Genomic DNA, 17494 nt, shown 5'->3' on the forward strand with positions numbered 1-17494 from the left:
AAGAGGCAAGGAAATGGATTTCTTCCCTGAAGCCTCCAGAAGGAACACAGCCGTTGGTCACCTTGATTGTAGACCTCTGACCTCCAGAACGACAAGAGAATACCTTTGTGTTGCTTGAAGCCACAAGTTGGTGGCAGTTTGCTATATCAGAAGTGGCTGGAGAAGCAACATGAAATTAACACAGCCCTTCTTGGGGCGGTGGGTAGCCGTTTATCAGGTTTTCACCCACGTCGAGTCAGCTGAGGAACAGTCACTGGTCCAAGTCGCCTCACCTGGCCCCCAGAGGCCCCTGCTGGGAAGGGCAGCCACCACTGCCATTCCCATGCTAGAGGCACAGACACTCAGGCCCAGAGAGTTTCCTTCATCTGCCCAAAGCCTCACTTTAATAAGTAGCAGAGCACGGCTGTGAGATGACTGCTATTTTCTCTTCCTCCTCCTCAGCCTCCGTGTTCCTAGATCACTCATCCCAAATGCAAATATATTTTTCAGTAGTAATTGCTTCTCTGGGGAGAAATTTTTTTTTTTGAAGTTTGCAAATCTTTTTATTTCCAGCTGTTGAGACAATATTTTTGAGAGCTGATGTTACTCTAGTGGCCAAACCAGTGCCAGCTATTAAACAGCCAGAAAGCTACAGTAATTGACTTACGTGACCATTTCTCTTTTAGCACGTTGTTTGTTCTCCTTTTCCAGAAGTTGTAGGCGTCTATTTAGTTTGATTATGTGTCGTCTTAGTGAAGCTGCGTCTACAACAGTCAGGTCATCCGATGTTCCTTCAGTTGTTGCGTCTGTATTTGAAATGCCATACGTGATGTTGTCATGATGAGGATTAGAAGTGGCCGGAGCAGACCTGCCACGCGACACAGGGAGAGAATCATTTCTGACCAGCTGTCCGTTTTGATGAACAGCATTTTCATTCATAGACCGTGCCCTCTTTAGTCTGCCGGCTGCAAAGATTTCTTCATTTTCAGGGGTTGTAAGAGATCTTTCTAAATCCAGAAAATCTGGTGGTCTTTCACTTAGTTTTTAGCACCAGGGGTTTGAAGGGAGTTGATTGAATAAGGTCAGGATCTACTGGTCTTGAAAGTGGAATATCTTCATTATTTCTTACAACACCAACCCTCTCCAGAACCTGCACACTAGTATCAGGAACTCCTTCTTGGAATCCTTGCTCCAGGTCAGCGTTTGGCAGTGCTACTTTTTTTCTTTCTTTCTTTCTTTCTTTTCTTTTCCTTTTTTTTTATGACAGAATCTTGCTCTGCTGCCCAGGCTGGAGTGCAGTGGCATGATCTCCTGGCTCACTGCAACCTCCGCCTCCCGGGTTCAAGCAATTATCTGCCTCAGCCTCCCGAGTAGCTGGAATTACAGGTGCGCACCAGCACACCCGGCTACTTTTTGTATTTTTAGTAGAGACAGGTTTCACCATCGTGGTCAGGCTGGTCTTGAACTCCTGACCTCGTGATCCACCCACCTCGGCCTCCCAAAGTGCTGGGATTACAGGCGTGAGCCACTGCGCCTGGCCGGTGGTGCTACTTTTAACTTTTCTGGGATCCTCACTTACTGACTAATGCCTGCAGTCTATTCCATTTCTTACTGAATTCAACGGATTTCTGCCATCTCTGCAGCAGTGGGAGAAGGAAATGCTGCCCCACTCACAAATGTGTACTTGCTATTTGGCACGGTTTGCTTCTATGCTTCATAGTAAATCCTTTGACTTGCTTCAATGTGCATGTGCTGGATTGAGAGCCACTTTTGTCCCCCTGGGCCCACAGGAGGGTCCCAGTGAGGGCTGCCACCCGCCAGTTCCCGGGGGCATTGGGGCGGGTGCTTAGAGGCTGTTGGCTGAGAGCACGGAGGCGCCCAGGCACAGCACCGGCGTAGCAGCCCGCAGAGGGCCCCTCTGGGGAGGAATCTGAGAAGCCCACAGAACAGCCTGCGCTGTCATCTGGGGGTTTCTGAATTAGAGCCATTCCAGGTGACCCATGGAGGTACCTCTCCTAGTCCCCAGTTGCACCAGCTGCCGGCCCTAGGCCTCCCTCTCCAGGCTGCCACTGCCTGTCTTTGTGGGGAAACTGGCTGTAGTTCCTGCAGTGGGATGGATATGGGCCCTTCTGTCTTGGGATAAACCTCTGAGCAGCTGCTTGAGATCACAGGCTGGCACCTAACGTGGAGTTATCATTCACACACCCAGAAAGGCAACAGCCCTGTGGCACTGTTCTCTGGCCTCCCCAGGTTTCCCACAGCAAATGACAACAGCAGCTTGCAGTGTGCCTGTCCTGTGCCGGACCTGGACTCTCAGAAGTGGCTGGGGAAGTAGACAGCATTTTCTTTTTCTTTTCTTTCTTTCTTTTTTTTTTTTTTTTTTTTGAGACAGGGTCTCACTCTGTCGCCCAAGCTGGAGTGCAGTGGCACGGTCTCGGCTCACTGCAACCTCCATCTCCTGGGTTCAAGTGATTCAGGATTACAGGTGCGTGCCACCACGCCCAGCTAATTTTTGTATTTTTATTTAGTAGAGACAGGGTTTCACCATGTTGGCCAGGCTGGTCTCGAACTCCTGACCTCAGGTGATCCAACTGCCTTGGCCTCCCAGAGTGCTGGGATTACAGGCGTGAGCCACTGCGCCTGGCCAGCATTTTCTTTTTAACAGGTGAGGAGGTGAAGGGCATTGCCAGGGGTGTACAGAATTAAACCTACATCCCACAGACTCCAAAATCCATCTATATTCCACTCTACTGCTAAGCCAACTACTGATTCACTCAACAGATTCCACTATACCACTATGCTGTGCTATTCCTTCATTCAACAAACATCTATTAAGCTCCTCTGGCCTGTGCCAGGCTTGTTCTTGGACTAGAGAGGGCAGTGAACAAAAATGACAAAAATTCACACCCTTGAAAGTTTACCTCCTGCAGCCACACTTTCCAACAGAAATAGAATTCAAGGCCCATATATAATTTTAAATTTCCTGGTAACCACACCTTTTTTAAAAAGGACAAAGAAACAGGCAAAATTAATTTTAATAATATATTTAGCTCGACATGTTCAAAATATGTCAACATGAAATTAATATAAAAATGTTAGTGAGGTATTCTTTTTGTCCTCCTAAGCCTCAGAAACTTGATGAAAGCTAGTTCCCTCTGGCCACCTGACAGCAAGCTGGGTGTGATTGTCATTGGGTCACCTGGAGCTCAGCCCCGCATTGTCCATCAGTCCATTCCTGCCACGTGCCCCTTGGGACTGCACTGGCCATAGCAGTGGGCTCCGTGGCTCCCTGTTGCTGTGGAATTGGGGAGCCACCATTTCTCTGGATTTAGAGAGGTGCTGGGCCTCAGCTCAGAGGGCTAGGTTAATGCACCTCTCAGTTTGTAACATGTCATTGTTACTGGGCCCTACACAGCCGCTTCCTATCTTTTCGTTGTTATTCTTTTATTCCTCTTTTCTCCCCTCTCCTATTCCATCCAGGGCACCCATCCTAACATGTTTAACATGCCTCTTGTTGGCTGTGGTCTTGTACATTGTGTCTTTCTCATTTCCGTGGATGATATTGCGTTCTGTCTCATTCTGATTGGTTATCCCCTACCTTACGTTTTTCAGCCAGCAATTTTATTTTCCTGGCCATAAATTCAAGAGCGCACCTGCAGCAACACTATCCAATGGAAAGAGAATTCAAGCCCCATATATAATTTTACTTTTTTTTTTTTTTTTTTTTTTTGAGACAGGGTCTTGCTGTGTGTCACCCAGGCTGGAGTGCAATGGCGCGATCTCATCTCACTGCAACCTCCACTGCCCAGGCTCAAGTGATCCTCCCACTTCAGCCTCCCAAGTAGCTGGGACTACAGGCACTCACCACCATGCCCCGTTAGTTTTTTTGTGTGTGTATTTTTTGTAGAGATGGGGTTTCGTCATGTTGCCCAGGCTGGTCTCGATTTCCTGAGCTCAAGCAATCTGCCTACCTCGGCCTCCCAAAGTGCTGGGATTACAAGCGTGGGCCACTGCACCGGCCTGCCCCATATATAATCTTAAATTTCCTGGCAACCACATCTTTTTATAAAAGGACAAAGAAACAGGAAAATTAATTTTAATAATAGATTTTACTTGATATATCCAAAATCTGTCATCTCAACACGTAATTAATATAAAAATGTTAGTGAGATTTTCTTTTTGTCCTGATAAGCCTTGGCAATCTAGTGTGTGTTTTACACTTGAATAGCACATCCCAATGCAGACTGGCCACATCTTGAGTCCCATAGAGTTTATTGGGACTCTCTTGTCCCCATAGTTTGTTCCCATGAGTCCCCCACCCTCGTTCATCTTCTCTAGGCTACCTCAAAGGAACCGGTTTGCCCTCATTCTCTAGGATGTTCTAGCTCCTTCTCTGAGTCTCTTGACTCATCGATTCTTCCTTGAGTTCTGAGATTACTACCAGCTAGGGCTTGCTATATGACATGTCACTTTGTCCTCACATCACCCCCATTCTGAGACTGAGGGAAGAGCTGGCCCAGGGTTGCACACCTAGTGGGTACTGAGCCTGATTCCAGACTCCAGCAGCCTGAGCACAGAGCCCAGCTCCTAACGAGCATCTCCTGCCCAACCGACTGCCCTCGGCCTTGACCCAGCAGGATTCCCAGGAGACGTGGCTTGTGGGAAAGAAGCCCAAGCAGTCCTGGCTGAACTTCTTTTTCTGAGATGTGTTGAGAGTATCAATTATGTGTGGGTCCTCAGAGACCTGCAACTCCGTGGCTTACTCAAGGCAAAAAGTTCCCTCCCCATCACTTAAAAGATGGAGGCAGTCCTCAGCCCTGAGTTTTTATTCCTGCGACTTTGCTGTGTGTGCATCTCACTCACTGCATCTGACAATTGCATGGCACTGCATGGTGTGCGCCTAGCTCATCCACCCATCCATCCCCCACCCAGAGACACCCAGACTGCTGCAGTGGACAGCCTCACCCACGGGCCCTGTGTGGGATGTGAACTCAGCTGGAGACCTGCCGTGCTGTGCCAGAGTGAGCTTGGACCACTTTACAACAGCCAATTATGCACATCTCCTCCCTACTCCGAGTTCAGTGACATCGTGTCAGTAGCTCGATAGTGCTGTGATGGGAATATTTACACCACAGCGATGGGCCGTGGCAATCACTACAAATCTGGGCTGTGTGTGTGTGTGCATGTGTGTGTGTGTGTGCGTGTGCATGCACACATGTGAAAGAGAGAGGGGGAGGGAGAGAGAGCTAGTTTACCAGCATACCACTGTGAGGGAGTATGTGGAGACTTTGTTTTCTAGAGACATGGTGCACCAGCACACACAGCAAGAGACAGGGTCTTTCTATGTTTCCTGGGCTGGTCTCAAACTCCTGGCCTCAAACAATCCTCCCACTTGAGCCTCGCAAAGCACTGGCATTACAGGCATGAACTATTGTACCCAGCCCTTTAATTTTATTGAATTAAGTGCTTCCAGACTGGTACCAGAATGACCATCCAATTTTACATGTCATTTCAAAAAAATTGTTTTCCCAGTTTCCAATTTAAAAAGACTTATGAACAAGTATGTGCATTAAACAACAGTGACAACATAATTTCAAGTCACCTATTAATTCAGCTAGTTGGCCCTGGGATGTAGTGCAGAATTCTAAAGATAAGTGTTGACTAGAATTCAGTTTCTAGTTTTGGCATTCTAGGACTCTTTCAAATGCAGGAGACAGAAAACTCAGTGTAATGAATGAGCTCTTATCACTCAGCCCTCCAGGGTTCTTCAGACACAGCGGGATCCAGGTTTGCAAACAGTGCCATGAGGACTCACTCCCTGCCGTTTGGTTCTGCTTTTTGCTGTGTTCATTCATTCCCAGGCAGGCTTTCTCTGCCCAATGCTCTGAGCTGCCTATGCAATGGAGGAGTGTCTCTTTCTCAGCAATTCCAGGGAAAGTTAAAATTTGAAACTCATTGGCCCAGTGTGGGTTACGTGTCCGTCTTGAAATTATCACTGTGCCCCAGAGTGTGGGAGGCCCTGATTGGCCAGGCCTGGGCATGTGCCTGCCCCTTGAGCCAGAATCAAAGTCATATGGACTGAGAATGGGGAGGGCCCTAGAGAAGGAAAACCAGGCACTGTTCCCAGCAGGTTAGGAGTGCCTGCTGGGCAGGTAAAACAACAGCATCCTCTCAACTTCTCTGGGGCGCTTGAGACTGACCGGTGCCCCTCCCTGTTGGACACCTCCTCCTGTGACCTTTGGACCCTGCGTTTTCAGGGCTTCCCGGCCTCTCTGACTGAAGAGGCCTTCTCTGCATCTTTACCCAGGCCATCTTCTTACCCTGCTTCTGGCTGAGGCTCTCTCCAAAAGCCCCGTACTGAGGCTCTCTCCAAAAGCCCCGTACTGAATCACTCACCTCATTCCTGCTAAGTGTGTGTTGTGACCAGTGCTCCGATTATGGGCACAGGCTCTGTGTACTCTCTTGTCGGGATGGTATCATTGTTGCCATTTTACAGATGAGGAAACCGAGGCTCTCAGTGGTGGAAGGAGCAGCTAGTGAAGCAGATGCACACCAGGGTCCTTTCCTTCAGCTGCCGTAGCCCTCCACTTCCCTGATCTCGCTGTGTCTGTCACCAGGGCCCTCCAGCTCTGAAACTATGTCCCTTTCCTTGTGGTATCTGCACCCAGCCAGCCACCACCTTTCCTCCCACAACCGTGAACCTCTCAGCCTGTGTGGACAGGCGTAGCTTTGGCTATACATGACAAAAAAAAAAAAAAAAAAGCAGATTCAATAAGATAAACCTTTATTTTTCTCTTATGTAAACAGAGTCCAGAGGTCAGCAGTCCAGGGCTGAAAAGGCAGCACCGTGATCCTCAGGGACCTAGGCTCCTTCTATCTTGCTGCTCTGCCAGTCTCTACCTCACATCCTAGTATGGCTGCTTGAGCTCCAACCATCACATCTGCACTAGAACCAATAGGAAGTGGGAAGCAGGGGGAGACATGTCTCCTCATTTAACATGTTTCCCTTCCTGAATGTGCCCCACCCCCTATACACACCCTGCTTATATCCCATTGGCCAGAACTTAGTCACATGCAACCGCTAGTGAGCTGCCTAAGAGGCTGGGTACTGCTATCTTTATTCTAGGAAGCCACGGAAAGCCGAGCATCAGCTTACTATGGAGGAAGGGGAACACGGATATTGGGAACCACAAATAGGCAAAATTAGTATTACTATTATTTTTTGAAACAGAGTCTCACTGTGTTGCCCAGGCTGGAGTGCAGTAGCGTGATCTCAGCTCACTACAACCTCTGCCTCCCGGGTTCAAGTGATTCTCGGTGCCTCAGCCTCCCGAGTAGCTGGGACTACAGGTGTCCGCCACCACGCCTGGCTAATTTTTGTATTTTTAGTAGAGACGGGGTTTCACCATGTTGACCAGGCTGGTCTTGAACTCCTGACCTCAAGTGATCTGCCTGCCTCGGCCTCCCAAAGTGCTGGGATCACAGGCGTGAGCCACCCCACCTGGCCAACTGGCAAAACTCAGCCACCCTGCCGACCAAATGAAAACATCAGACCAGTGAATTGGCACGCTCTCTTTTCTTTCCCTCCAGCACAGGGAGAAGGAGGAAAGAGCAGCAGGCTCACTGTGCTTGGAGGTGAGCTGTGCCGGGCAGGTGACATCTCACCTTGGCCAGATCTCTCTGGTGCATTCCTCAGGAGGTCAACCCCGTTTCCGGCCCTTAGCTGGGACCTGCTTGGTGTTTACAGATTGACGTGGCAGAGGGGAAAAACACCCAAGATGTGCCCACTGAGCCCTGTGAAATCGTTTTCCAGCATGGAAGTTTCACCAGGGCTTCTCTATAGACAGTGAGGCCACTTCTGAATGCCATAATGCCATGCTGGCTGTGAAGAAAGTCGATTGTGTCTTTTTTTAGTTCACGGAGACTTTTTTTTTTTTTGGAGACGAAGTTTCACTCTTGTTGCCCAGGCTGGAGTGCAACGGCGCAATCTCAGCTCACTGCAACCTCCGCCTCCTGGGTTCAAGCAATTCTCCTGCCTCAGCCTCCCGAGTAGCTGGGATTACAGGCGCACGCCACCATGCCTGGCTGATTTTTTATATTTTAAGTAGAGATGGGGTCCCACCATGTTGGCCAGGCTGGTCTCAAACTCCTGACTTTTAGCTGATCCACCCTCCTTGCCCTCCCAAAGTGCTGGGATTACAGGCATGAGCCACCACACCCGGTCAGTTCACAGAGATTTTAAAACCCAGGGGGGCAGGTGGTTGTGAGGGTGGGCTAGCCACGGGTTGGGGGAATCATAATGCCAGCTTTCCCTGCAGCATCATGTCTTGGCAGCACCAAACACAGAAGAGGAAACTGAGATTCTGAGAGGCGTAAGGAGCAGCTACTGAAGCAGATGCATGCCAGGGTCCTTGCCTTCAGCTGCCATAGTCTCCCATCTCCCCAGTCTCCATGTTTCTCTGTCACCAGGGCCCTCCAGCTCTGAAATGATATACTTTCCCTGTGGTACCTGCACACAGCCAGCCAAACACTCTGTTGGATAACCCTCCACGTGGATAACACGCTCACCCCTCAACCCTATGAGACCAATATTGTATCCTAGCTGCTGCTGGGCAGAGGTGGGATTTAGTTCCCTCCTGTGAGCTGTTGTGCCCTGACTTCTCTGCGAAGTGGGGACCGTAGCACTTCCTTCCCGGGGCTGCTGGGAGATGATGTGTGAAACATATTAGCAATACCGTGGAGGTTGTGAGCACTCGGCCCAGGGTAGATCTTTTTTATTACCCAGTGGGAAAGAGGGCCTAAGCGAAGCAAATGTGGGCTGGATTGCGTCCCCCGCCAAATTCCTTTGTTGAAGCCCCCTGTCCCCAGTACTCAGAATGGGATTGCATTTGGAGATAAGGCCTTTACATAGGGGATCAAGGTGAAGTAAAGTCATATGAGTGGGCCCTAATCCAATATCACTGGTGTCCTTGTGAGAAGAGGATCTCCTGAGCCCAGGATTTCAAGACCAGCCTGGGCCATACTGGGAGACTCCATCTTTACAAAAAAATGCCAGGCTTGGTGGCATGCACCTATAGTCCCCAGCTACTCAGAAGGCTAAGGCAGAAGGATTGCCTGAGCCTGGGATATCGAGACTGCAGTGAACTGTGATCATGCCACTGTACTCCAGCCTGGGCAACAGAGCGAGACTCTGTCTCAAAAAAAAAAAAAAAAAAAAAAAAAGAGAGAGATTAGGACAGAGACACACACGGAGGGACAACCGCGTGAGGACAGAGGGAACAGGTGGCCATCTACAGGCCACAGAGAGAGGCCTCAGAAGGAACCAACCTTGCTCAGAAGGAACCAACCTTGATCTTGGACTTCCAGCCTATAGAATTGTGAAAAAATAGATTTCTGTTGTTTCAGGCACCCTGACTGTGGTACTGGTTATATCAGCCCCAGCAAACTAATACAAGCTCTTAATCTCTCTTCCCCTCCCCTTCCCTGCAAGCTGTCCCCTTTTAACCTTAATTCCAGTTTTATGATTAAACATCTCAGCGTCAATTATTTACAACACATCCAGATGAGTATCAGAGCTGCAGGGGACTGAATGACTCACACTGGGGAAGCTGGTTTTCATGAAGGGAAAAACGACACTAAGAAAAACAGGGAATTGTATCTCCTGACCACAGAGACTGAAACTGACCTAGGGAAAGTTTCTGTCAGCCGCAGCACAGGGAGGATCTCTTCGTGGGAGTGGGGGGCCCGGGAGGCACCAGGCAGTGGAGTGTGCCACAGGTGCCTCACACCTGTATATGGCACCTGCCAGCACGCAGGCTGTTTACTTACCCAATAGTTGGTTTGACTGGGCACAATTCCTTCATCCAGATAAAACTAATCACTCGGAGTGAGTCGTGTCTAGTTTGAATCTTTGCTGCACCATTCACTGTGTGACTTTGAGCAAGTTTCTTAACTTCCCTAACTACAGGCTCCTCTTCTGTGAAATGGGGCTTATTCTAGAAACTTTTTCATCAGCTTGGGAAGTTTAAGCATGGTAATAAATAACTGAGAAATTAGACTGTGATTATATTAAGTAAATAATATTCGTAATAGGTCGTTAAGAAAAATAAATATATTAAAATTTTATAAATAAAAACAAAACAGAATACATAAAATTAATAAAGAAAAGTAAATATATAATGAGTATTAAAATTGTATAAATAAAATTTAAAAATGGAATACATAAAATTAATAGTAATAATAAGTAATAAATAATAATAAAGGCATGTAAGGCACCCAGCACTGGCATTTCATAGGAGCTTAGGAGAATGTTCACTGTAGTTGCCACAATTCCGAAATGTAACAGTTGGAAAAAGAATCAAGTGTGACAAGTGACTTCCTAAAAATCGAAGACAGGAAGGAAACCCAGGACTCGAGAAAGCAGCTCTGGCTAAGATGCTTCGAGTAGGAAAGTCAGGTATAAAGTGGAGATGAGGGAACGGGGAATGGCGAGGGGAGGGGGACAAGCTCGGCTCAATACCAAAAGAGCTCTTGGCAGCAGGTTTGGGAACCACTTCTACAGAGACAGCATTGCGGTGGCTAAAAAAGAAAATGTCCAGATATGGGCAGGACAAACTTTCTCAAACGGCGTCCTAATCTCCAGAATCAGAGCTGGTCTAAGAAAAGTCTGGGAACACAGAGGGCTTGCTTCTGCAGGACTCGTGGGCCTGCAGAGGGCTGGCTGTCTGCTTCACGTACCTCGACTTTTGGCTTAAAAGCCCTCATATAATGAGTACTTAAAGTAAACGTCAGTCTTGTCCTGTCGTCAGCACTTTGGAACTGCAGTTTTGAGCCCCCAGGAAGTGGGGTGCCTGCTGACTCAAGCACGAGAATACCTTTATCAAGTTTGTTGGTCCCAGCAATGTTAGAACAAGTGTAAACTTGGCTCGTTAGCAGAATCCTGGGTTAAAATGTAAACTTGGTAGAGGAGCACCGCCATGCCAAGCCTCCCTCCAACCTGGCCACACGAGGAAAGGGCGCATAATTCACCAAGCGATTGGTTTTATCAGGATTGAGAAACTGTGCCTAATCAAATCAGCTATTGAGTAGGTAAACAGTCTGTGCTGGCAGGCACCATACACAGGTGTGAACGGGAATGCCACCTGCAGGAGTTGCCTGGGTCTGCCATAACAAATTACCCCAAACTTCATGGCTGAAAACAACACACATTTATTGTCTTGCAATAAATGTGTTCTGGAGGCCAGAAGTCCAGCCTCAGTTTCATGGGTTAACATCACAATGTGGGCAGGGCTGGTTCCTCCAGAGGCTCTAGGAGAGCATGCGTCTTCTTGCCTTTTCCAGCTCCTGGAGGCACCTGCATCCCTGGACTTGTGACTCTCTCCTCACATCCTCCTGCTTCCATGATTCCATCTCCTGCTTCCTCCTTTGACCTTTCTGCTTCCCTCTTATAAGGCTACTACTCATCAAATTGGGCCCACCTGGATGATCCAACGTAATCTCCCCATCTCAAGATTCTTAACTTAATCATGTCCAAAAAGGCACTTTTTCCATATAGGCTAGAAGTTACAAATTTTGATTAGGACCCGGATATCTTTGAAGACCACGATTCAGCCTCCCATGTGCCTGTTCCCAAATTCCAAGAAACACAGGGTGGTGAGCAGCAAAGAACCCTGTGCAGGACCCCGCTTCTTCTCTGCCCCTAACTTGAATGGCCTTCAGTTAGTCTCTGACCCCTTCTGGGCCTCTGTAAAGATTAATGGACGCCCACCTGCCTCCATAGGCCTTTAAAGGATTTCTGGCACAATTAGAGCAGCTACTGTCTGCAGGGCATTGGGTCAAGGCCCTCAATGTATTCACTCATGGATTCTTCAGCTTTATGGTCCCTGAAAAGTGCTGGGCAGGCTCCTGACTTAGAGCCTTGGCTCTGTGGTTCCCTCCTCTGCCTGGAATGTTCTTCCCCAGGTATTCATGTGATTCCTCCCTCGCATCCTTCAAATCTCTGCTCAGATATCATTTTCTTGGTGACTGTGTACCTGGCCACCGTTTTTTGTTTTTTGTTTTTGAGACAGAGTCTCGCTCTGTCACCCAGGCTGGAGTGCAGTGGCGTGATCTCGGCTCACTTGCAACCTCCGCCTCCCTGGTTCAAGCCATTCTCCTGCCTCAGCCTCCCGAGTAGCTGGGATTACAGGCGTGCGCCACCCCTCCCGGCTAATTTTTGTATTTTTTTTTTTTCAGTAGAGACAGAGTTTCACCATGTTGGTCAGGCTGGTCTCGAACTCCTGACCTCATGATCCACCCGCATCGGCTTCCCAAGGTGTTGGGATTATAGACATGAGCCACCACACCTGGCCTGTTTTTAAAATCACTACCCACAGCTCTGTTATTTTCTTTTAGCTTGTATTACCTGCTACCATACCACAGACTCTAATGTGAGCTCTATGGGGACAAGGCCTTCTGTCTGTTTTGATTGTTTCTATGTCCTCAGTGCTTAGATCAGGACTTGGTCCATAGTAGGTGCTCAGTTAATATTGTGTTAGGTAAATGAATAAACACCTGTAATCAAAACTCTGAGCTCGTCACTTATAAACCCAGTGAGGTAGATCCCAGTAAAATTTACTTTGTACAGATGACAGAGCTGAGACTGAGAGCCCTAAGAATTGTCTTGTCTAGGTAATTACTAAGTTACAGAGCTGAGATACAAACCCGGCCTCTGATCTGGAGCCCAGGCTCCCAGTCCCACGGCATAACAGGTGGAGTGGATACTCACCAGCACCCTCTGCAGTCCCTGATTTGATAAATTCTCATCTGTGACTTCTCTCCTTTTTTCTGCAAAATGCCCCTTGGGGAAGACAAACTAAATGAGTCCAGTCAGTGTCCAGAACTGCCTGTCACACAAGGACAAATGCTGAGTCCAGATGGCACCGAGGTTCACACAAGCCTGGCTGGCCACCAGGAACACTGACCACAGGCAGCAACGTGGGACAGGCTCCAGCTTCTCTTCCAGGCCCCCAGTCCTCCCACTCTTCAGATTCCAGGGCTGAGCCTCCAAAGTTGTCCACCTAGGCTGGGTGAGGTGGCTCACGCCTGTAATCCCAGCACTTTGGGAGGCCGAGGCGGACGGATCACCTGAGGTCAGGAGTTTAAGACTAGCCTGGCCAGCGTGGTGAAACCTCGTCTCTACTAAAAATACAAAAATTAGCCGGGTGTGGTGGCGCACGCCTGTAATCCCAGCTAGTTGGGAGGCTGAGTCAAGGAGAATCACTTGAACCTGGAAGGCAGAGGTTGCAGTGAGCCAAGATCGCGCCACTGCACTCCAGCCTGGGTGAGAGAGCGAGACCTCATTGATGGGAACTCTGCCCTGCCTTGGTGGAAAGGCTGGCTTTTCTGCTGCTCCGTGAATGAGGACGGCCTAAACAAGGGGCTTTGTGGACAGGCGCTGCCACTTACTAAACTGAGACTTTGGGCAAGTTTCTCCACCTCTGTGCCTCAGCGTATTCCTTGATAAAATGGACAGAGGTGGGGATGACAGTACCTCCCTTATATGACTGTTGGGTGGGATAAATGAGCTAAATTGTGTAAAGTGCCTGGGGTGTCAGTGCCCTAACTATGTGCTGGGGGTTGGGGGACTAGAGTACTGGGGGTCTGGCTGATGGTCAGAGCCTGTGCTTAGCCTTGTTTGCCAGGGTCGGGGGGCTGCTGCTGTTGTCCCCAGAGACACCGATGGCCAGAACCTGGAGAAGGTTCGAGGTGTCAGACTCACATTGGGCTGACGGGGACAGGAGATCTGCATCCCTCAGTGCTATCCTGGCAGAGGAAGTCTCTGAAATGTGAGATGTCACATTTCCCAAGAAATACTGAATGTGACTGGGTCCCCCGTGCCAGCCTTCTAAATAAGGCTGGACACCAGCCACCTGCTTAGAGAAAGACACTATGTCAAGTGCCTCAAGAAAAGATGTATGGTTCATGAACTCGCTGCTTCTGCTTCTGGTCCCTTGAGTCTTCAAGATGAACTTGTCTTCCTTAATTTCTCCAACACTTACGTGGATTAGCAAGGACCCTGGTGATGTCAGGTTTTATACAATGCACCGACAGCTTGTGTTTGGAGTCGGGGAGGGAAGCTGCCTCTTTTCTCTGCAAGCCATGACATATTCTGGAAGATGCCCACTTTCCCATCGCTGTGGGATTACTGAGGCTGAGCCCTCACCCTGGAATATCCTGATCTCTTACCCCCAAATTCCACCCACAGGAAGGCCACAGAGGCCTCAAGGCCCTGCAGAGCTGCATGCGTATCTTCCTTCTCCCTGCCCTCCTCAAATTGAATCCGTCATTCTTTTTGGAAGCTCTTCAGACACGCTCCATTTTGGCAGTGCTACTTGGTGTTTAAAAGTGTGGGTTTTAGGATCAGGCGTACCCTACCCCTGCCTCGTACTCACTGTGTGACCTTAGAAAAATTACTTTCCGTCTTGGAACCTGTGTCCTTATCTATAAAATAGAACCAATAACTATTAAATGATGATGCACATAAAGAGCTCCACAGAGGGCCTGGCACAGAATTGGCATTCAACACACATTGATGCTTTCTCTGACGCTGACTTCCCTTCTGTTAGGCAGAATCGCCTGTCTTCCTGCTGGATTGTAAAAGTCTGTCTCATGTATCTCGGTATCCCCCAAAGCTCCTGGCATACAGTAGGGGAACCGGGAATTGTTTAAATCAAAATCTTCAACAAGTCATTTTAAAAGAAATGTTCAGGTCCAGTAGCTCATGCCTGGTAATCCCAGCACTTTGGGAGGCTGAGGCAGGCAGATTGCTTGAGCCCAGGAAATCGAGACCAGCCTGGGCAACAGAGCGAGACCCTTTCTCTACAAAAGACGCAAAAAATAGCTGGACATGGTGGTGTGTGCCTGTAGTCCCAGCTCCTCGGGGGCCGAGGTGGGAGGATTGCTTAAGCCTGGGAGGTCAAGGGTACAGTAAGCCATGATCATGCCACTGCAGCCTGGATGACAGAGTGAGACCCTGTCAAAAAAAAAAAAAAAAAAGAGAGAGAGAAGAAAGGGAAGAGGAGGGGAGGGGAGGGAAGGGAACATTTACCTGTCACCCCCTCACACTTTTGTCCTGAAACACCTCTGGGAAGAAGGAAGGAGGGAAGGAAGGAGGGAGGGTAGGGAGGGAAACATTTACCTGTCACCCTCACACTTTTGTCCTGAAACACCTCTGGGAACCTCGGTGCCTTGCCCAGAAAGTGGCCCCCAGGGACTCAGCTTTGTGGGAACCCGCATAGTGCAGGCACAGGTGGACTTCACAGTCAGCTGGATTTGATTATGAGTCGACTGTGCCACTTACCGGCTGTGTGGCCCAGGGCAAATTACTTACCCTGTCCAAGACTCCAAGATGGTGGGGCAGATCATTCCTTGAAGGGTGGCCGTGAGGATCGGGTGAGTTTAGGAATGCACCTGATTCATGCTGAGTATCAGCTGCTGCTGATTTCATGATAGCTGCTGCGGAGACTGCTATTCTTGTTACCATTATTCTTCTTACCCTGCCTTGTGTATTACTTAACATCCTTTCTTCTTTTTCCCATCAGCTCTCTCCAGCTGGGCAGCCCTCCTCCCAGCTCCCCTGCCTCTATGCCTCATTTGCACATTGCTTTTTGTTTTTCCCTAGTGCACAGTCTAAAAGATCCCTGGTGCTCTGTTGAAACAGGAACCTGACACCCTTTGACCTTGGTCCGTGGGGAGGTAGCCTGAAACTCCCTCCCAGGCAGGACAGGAGCAGGGGCTCAGCACCTTTTTTCCTACCCCCACTGCATGGGACTGGAAATTGTGACAAAAGTGATTGTGGGCTGAAACTTGGCAGAGAGAGCCCCACTGAATTCCTCCTTTGTGATGTGAATGTGGCACAGCCCGGTGGAACCGGGGATCCCTTTCCCAATTATGCAGCTTGGCAGGAAGAGGTCGGTGCAGGGAGAATGCTCAAGGAGCCCCTCTGTCATGGGGGTTGGTAGCACCGCCAGCCGCCTCCGACTGGCAAGACCTCCTCCCACTAAAGCCAGCTGGGCTGGGCGCTTCTGCAACTGCACCTTCCGGGGCCACAGCACAGAACTCAGTGGTCACGTGAGGGTCTACATCCGATTCCCAGTTTCTAAACTGTGTCCTGGAGAGTTTCTGCAATTCAGCGAGAAGAGGCAGCGGAAGGCCCAGCCATCAATGCTTGGGCCCTTTACCCCGTTTCAGCCGGGGCAGCGCTGCTTTCCATCGTCCCATCTTATTTCAGTCGTTGTCTTCACGTTCAAGTTCATGGAGACTCAATCCAGATGTGCCTGGCTGTGATGGCCCCACTCAGGTCTCAGCCACTCTGATGTCTGGAGCTGGGTCTACCTCCCTGGCCCCGACTCCTCCACACCCACTGCACAGCCCCTCCCTGCCGGCTCTGGTTGGCCAGGGGTGTGCACACGAGTGGAAAGAGCCTCTGCCCAGCGTGGAGCGGTGAGGCTAAAGGCTTCCATGTTCCCTGCTGACTTCCACCTGCAAAGGCCAGGCAACCGCTGAAACCTCCAGCCCCACCAGGGAATACTGATACAGTCACTTTCTCAGGTCACAACGGAAATCACATTTATTCTGCATATTTTCCTCATGTTGCCGGCAAATTATTTGCATACGGATACAAGATTTGGGTATCTGGATCTTCCTGCAAGTTAGCTTTTATTAATCCTCTCCCCTTCAGGCTTGGACTGGGAATTTCCCCTCATTGATATGAGACATTGGTTCAACTTTTAAACTTGCCAGGTATTCATTTGTTTGTTCTATAAATATCTACTAAGTACCTGTTAAGTTCCTGGCATGCGGTGCTGGGGCCTGGAGCAGGCAGTGGACAAGACAGACAAGAACCGTGTTTCAGAGAGTTCATACTCCAGTGAGGGAGACAGGGAGCCAACAAGAAAGCAAAATGAGATTACTACTGACTGCAAAGTGTTATCATCACCCATGGGAAGGAAAGGCAAGGAACTCAGCAGGGGACCCAAGTGTAGCTGTGTGAGAGAGGAGGCATTTCCACTGGATGGTCAGAGAGGTGCTCACTGAGGAGGTGGCATTTAAGCTGAGAGACAGAGGTCTCTACTAAAAAGTAGTAAGATAGCCAGGCATGGTGGCTCATGCCTGCAATCCCAGCACTTTGGTAAGGCCGAAGCAGGAGGATCGCTTGAGGCCAGGAGTTCAAGACCAGCCTGGGCAACACAGCAAGATTCCATCTCTACAAAAAGATTAAAAATTAAAACATTAGCTGGGTGTGATGGTGTGCACCTGTAATCCCAGGTACTTGGGAGGCTGAGGCGGGAGGATCACTTGAGCCCAGGAGTTCGAGGCTGCAGTGAGCTATGGGTGACAAAGAAATATGCTGTCTCTAAAATAATTTTTTAAAAAATTTTAAATACAGAAATAAATAAATAAGTAGCCAGACAAAAGAGACAGGTGGAAGGGTGTTTTCAAGCAGTAGGTATAGCAAGTTCCAAGGCCCTGTGGT

The 17494-nt window shown here is 49.1% G+C and overlaps 1 protein-coding gene and 1 pseudogene across 9 annotated transcripts in view, besides 2 other annotated features; one reads left to right on the plus strand and one right to left on the minus strand.

Moving 5' to 3' along the window:
* TMEM51 (transmembrane protein 51) overlaps positions 1 to 17494 on the plus strand; it is a 67913-nt gene that overhangs the window by 38666 nt on the left and 11753 nt on the right. Inside the window, exon 1 of one of the 9 annotated variants that reach the window (XM_005245919.1) lies at positions 1305 to 1318. The exons of the other annotated variants lie outside the window; for them this stretch is intronic. The gene's annotated coding sequence lies outside the window, so the exon portion shown is untranslated. Of the gene's footprint in view, positions 1 to 1304; positions 1319 to 17494 lie in introns of those variants that run through there. 9 annotated transcript variants of the gene reach the window in all.
* On the minus strand, positions 526 to 1894 carry MFFP1 (MFF pseudogene 1; annotated as a pseudogene).
* Positions 13107 to 13662: an enhancer, noted in NCBI's record as "H3K27ac-H3K4me1 hESC enhancer chr1:15530834-15531389 (GRCh37/hg19 assembly coordinates)". NCBI's record gives its function as "activates a minimal SCP1, AML or CMV promoter by ChIP-STARR-seq in naive H9 embryonic stem cells {active_cell/tissue: H9 hESC(naive)}" and the evidence as "EXISTENCE:reporter gene assay evidence [ECO:0000049][PMID:30033119]".
* Positions 14031 to 14200: an enhancer, noted in NCBI's record as "experimental_376 CRE fragment used in MPRA reporter constructs". NCBI's record gives its function as "activates a minimal promoter by MPRAs in K562 erythroleukemia cells, with activity observed for the introgressed 1:15531843 variant allele {active_cell/tissue: K562}" and the evidence as "EXISTENCE:reporter gene assay evidence [ECO:0000049][PMID:34662402]".

Source organism: Homo sapiens, chromosome 1 (genome assembly GCF_000001405.40).
Source record: "Homo sapiens chromosome 1, GRCh38.p14 Primary Assembly".
In the NCBI taxonomy this organism is placed as follows: domain Eukaryota; kingdom Metazoa; phylum Chordata; class Mammalia; order Primates; family Hominidae; genus Homo; species Homo sapiens.